At 40.5% G+C, this 3041-nt stretch overlaps 1 annotated feature.

Moving 5' to 3' along the window:
- Nucleotides 1773-2273: an enhancer, noted in NCBI's record as "H3K27ac hESC enhancer chr4:153661870-153662370 (GRCh37/hg19 assembly coordinates)". NCBI's record gives its function as "activates a minimal SCP1, AML or CMV promoter by ChIP-STARR-seq in naive H9 embryonic stem cells {active_cell/tissue: H9 hESC(naive)}" and the evidence as "EXISTENCE:reporter gene assay evidence [ECO:0000049][PMID:30033119]".

Genomic DNA, 3041 nt, shown 5'->3' on the forward strand with positions numbered 1-3041 from the left:
TGAGAAGTGTTACTTATTCAACAGAGAGATTCCACAAAGAATCTCTTGTATAGTTTTATGACCTCATTCTTGCAAAGGATATAGCAGAAAAAAGAATTGAGTCATAAAAAGCGAAAGATATTTCTCAATTTCCTAATCATAACTTCGTGACTTAAAACAACAAAAGCTTATTCTCATAGAGTTCTGGAGGCCAAAGTCCAAAATCAAGGTGTTGGCAAGGCCATGCTCCCCAAGAAGGTTCTGGGGCAGAACCCTTTCTTGTCTCTTCCAGCTTCTGGTGGCTCCTGGCATTCCTTGGTTTGGGGCAGCCTAACTCCAGTATCTGCCTTGGCCCTCACATGGTCTTCTCTGTGTGATTTTGTGCCCTCTATATTGTAAGGACACTAGTCATTAGATTTAGGGCCCACTCTTAATCTATGATGATTTCATCTGAGCTCCTCAACCAATTACAATTAATTACATATGCTAAGAAAATTACATCCCTATTTCCACATAAGGTCACATTCTGAGCTTTTGGGTGGCCATAAATTTGGGTGGGGGACATTATTCAACCCACTATAATGTGTGACACATGCAGAAAATAGACAAAAAAGAGAGATTATGCATTTATAACATAGGAAATAGATTTACTCTTTGTGATTACCTTGTTATTCTTTACTACAGCCAACTATCTAATGATTGGTGACAATCAGAAGCAAACTTGACCTTTATCTACATGCTGTAGGAAAATGGTTCCCAAATGCTAAACAATGAAACAGCACTGGTCCGAGGGAAAGCTTTCATAGGCCAAGGCATCTTTTCCACAATCCCTGTGGGCTCTCGATTGAAGTCCCAGGGCCTCAGTTGCTCAGCCTTAGCTAAGAGGAGCTACTGAGTAAGAGCTTGCTCTAGGCACCTGGGCTCTACCATCTGCCCCCGCCAAGTTCTTCATGGCCCGGTAAGGAATAAGGACAGCATCAGAGCGATCAGGAAACTTGCTTTCATTTACATAGAATATTCCAAATGAAGGGAAATGCCATTAAGAGTGTTACTTCCATCTTTGCTAACAAACCTTTGAGAAACTGAGTTTCATAATGAATGATAAAGATATGAGAACAAATTGAACATTGATGCTCTACTTTGTGGTGTCCTATTGAATATATAACCACAAGCTGATAAATGTGTATCAAACTAACAATTATGTACAATGCAATAGGATTTCATATAGTAACTCTTCTAAACTCAAAAATTATGTATATATTTATAAAAATATATTTCATCTGTGTCTCTCTGTTGTCAGATTACCAACTATCCTTTATGCTATGTCCTTTTTACTTTTTACATGTAAAGTATGATTTCTTTTATGAAATAGTAAATATAGATTCTTACCTTACAAAATACAAAGGGCAACTTTTGTTGGTTCCATGCTTTTTAAACATTTTCACTGAATATATTTTATATTTCAGTGATTTCTTTTTTATTGCTTTGGAGTACAGAATTATTACAGAAATAAATTTCAGAGTATAAAGGTATTTCTCCATAAGAAAACCTGCCATTTAAAAGTCAAGCTTATAGGACATATTGGTTAAAATATAATTGTATTGTTTTGATTTAAAGTAACAGGATTTGCACTTAAGAGAAGGTATACCCTAGATTTCCTTTGCACAATAAATTCCTAAAGTGCATGTATAATATGATTCCATTTTATATTTAAATCCAAAATTTCAAGAGCACAGTCTTTTCAAATTAAGTTACACCTCCTTCTATTTTTCCTGCAGACAGCTGTCAATAGGCAAGATATTCCCACTGTAGCACTCACCTCTCCTATCCATCTGTCTTTCCACCAGGCATTTAGAGATCAGGCAAATAGAAAGACTGTGTCTGGGGTAAAAAAATGACTGCAGAGGGAAAGCTGAACCTGGCTGGACATAGTTGCTCTGCCCAGAACATTGTTTTTTCTCTTTTATGGGCCTTTACTCTGATTGACTACCATTTAACAAAAATGGTAGTGAGAGCAGCGTCACCGGATAATTACAATCTCCTTAAGTGTCAAAAGACCTTGGTCTTCCTTCATATGGAAACTCTCTACCCTCTCATTTAAAGCAATCGAGGCTGGGTGCAGTGGCTAACGCCTGTAATCCCGGCACTTTGGAAGGCTGAGGTGGGCCGATCACTTGAGTCCACAGTTTGAGACCAGCTTGGGCAACATGGCAAAATCCTGTCTCTACACAAAATACAAAAATTAGCCTGGCTTGGTGGCACGCATCTGTGGTCCCAGGCACTTGGGAGGCTGAGGCAGGGGGATGGCTTGAGCCTGGGAGGTCGAGGCCTCAGTGAGCCGTGATTGTGTCACCGCACTCTAGCCTGAGTCAAACAGTGAGACCCTGTCTAAAAAAAAAAAAAAAAAAAAAAAAAAAGCAATTGAATAACTTTCATGCGCGTCCGTGTGAAGAGACCACCAAACAGGCTTTGTGTGAGCAACATGGCTGTTTATTTCACCTGGGTGCAGGTGGGCTGAGTCCGAAAAGAGAGTCAGCGAAGGGAGATAGGGGTGGGGCCATTTTATAGGATTTGGGAAGGTAATGGAAAATTACAGTCAAAGGGGGTTGTTCTCTGGTGGGCAGGGGTGGATCTCACAAAGTACATTCTCAAGAGTGGGGAGAATTACAAAGAACCTTCTTAAGGGTGGGGGAGATTACAAAGTACATTGATCAGTTAGGGTGGGGCAGGAACAAATCACAATGGTGGAATGTCATCAGTTAAGGCTGTTTTTACTTCTTTTGTGGATCTTCAGTTACTTCAGGCCATCTGGATGTATACGTGCAAGTCACAGGGGATGCGATGGCCTGGCCTGGGCTCAGAGGCCTGACATTCCTGCCTTCTTATATTAATAAGACAAATAAAACAAAATAGTGTTGAAGTGTTGGAGTGGCAAAAATTTTGGGGGGGTGGTATGGAGAGAGAATGGGCGATGTTTCTCAGGGCTGCTTCAAGCGGGATTAGAGGCGGCGTGGGAACCTAGAGTGGGAGAGATTAAGCTGAAGGGAGGTCTTGTGGTGAGG

The sequence above is a fragment of the Homo sapiens genome, chromosome 4 (genome assembly GCF_000001405.40).
Source record: "Homo sapiens chromosome 4, GRCh38.p14 Primary Assembly".
NCBI classification, from domain to species: Eukaryota; Metazoa; Chordata; class Mammalia; order Primates; family Hominidae; genus Homo; species Homo sapiens.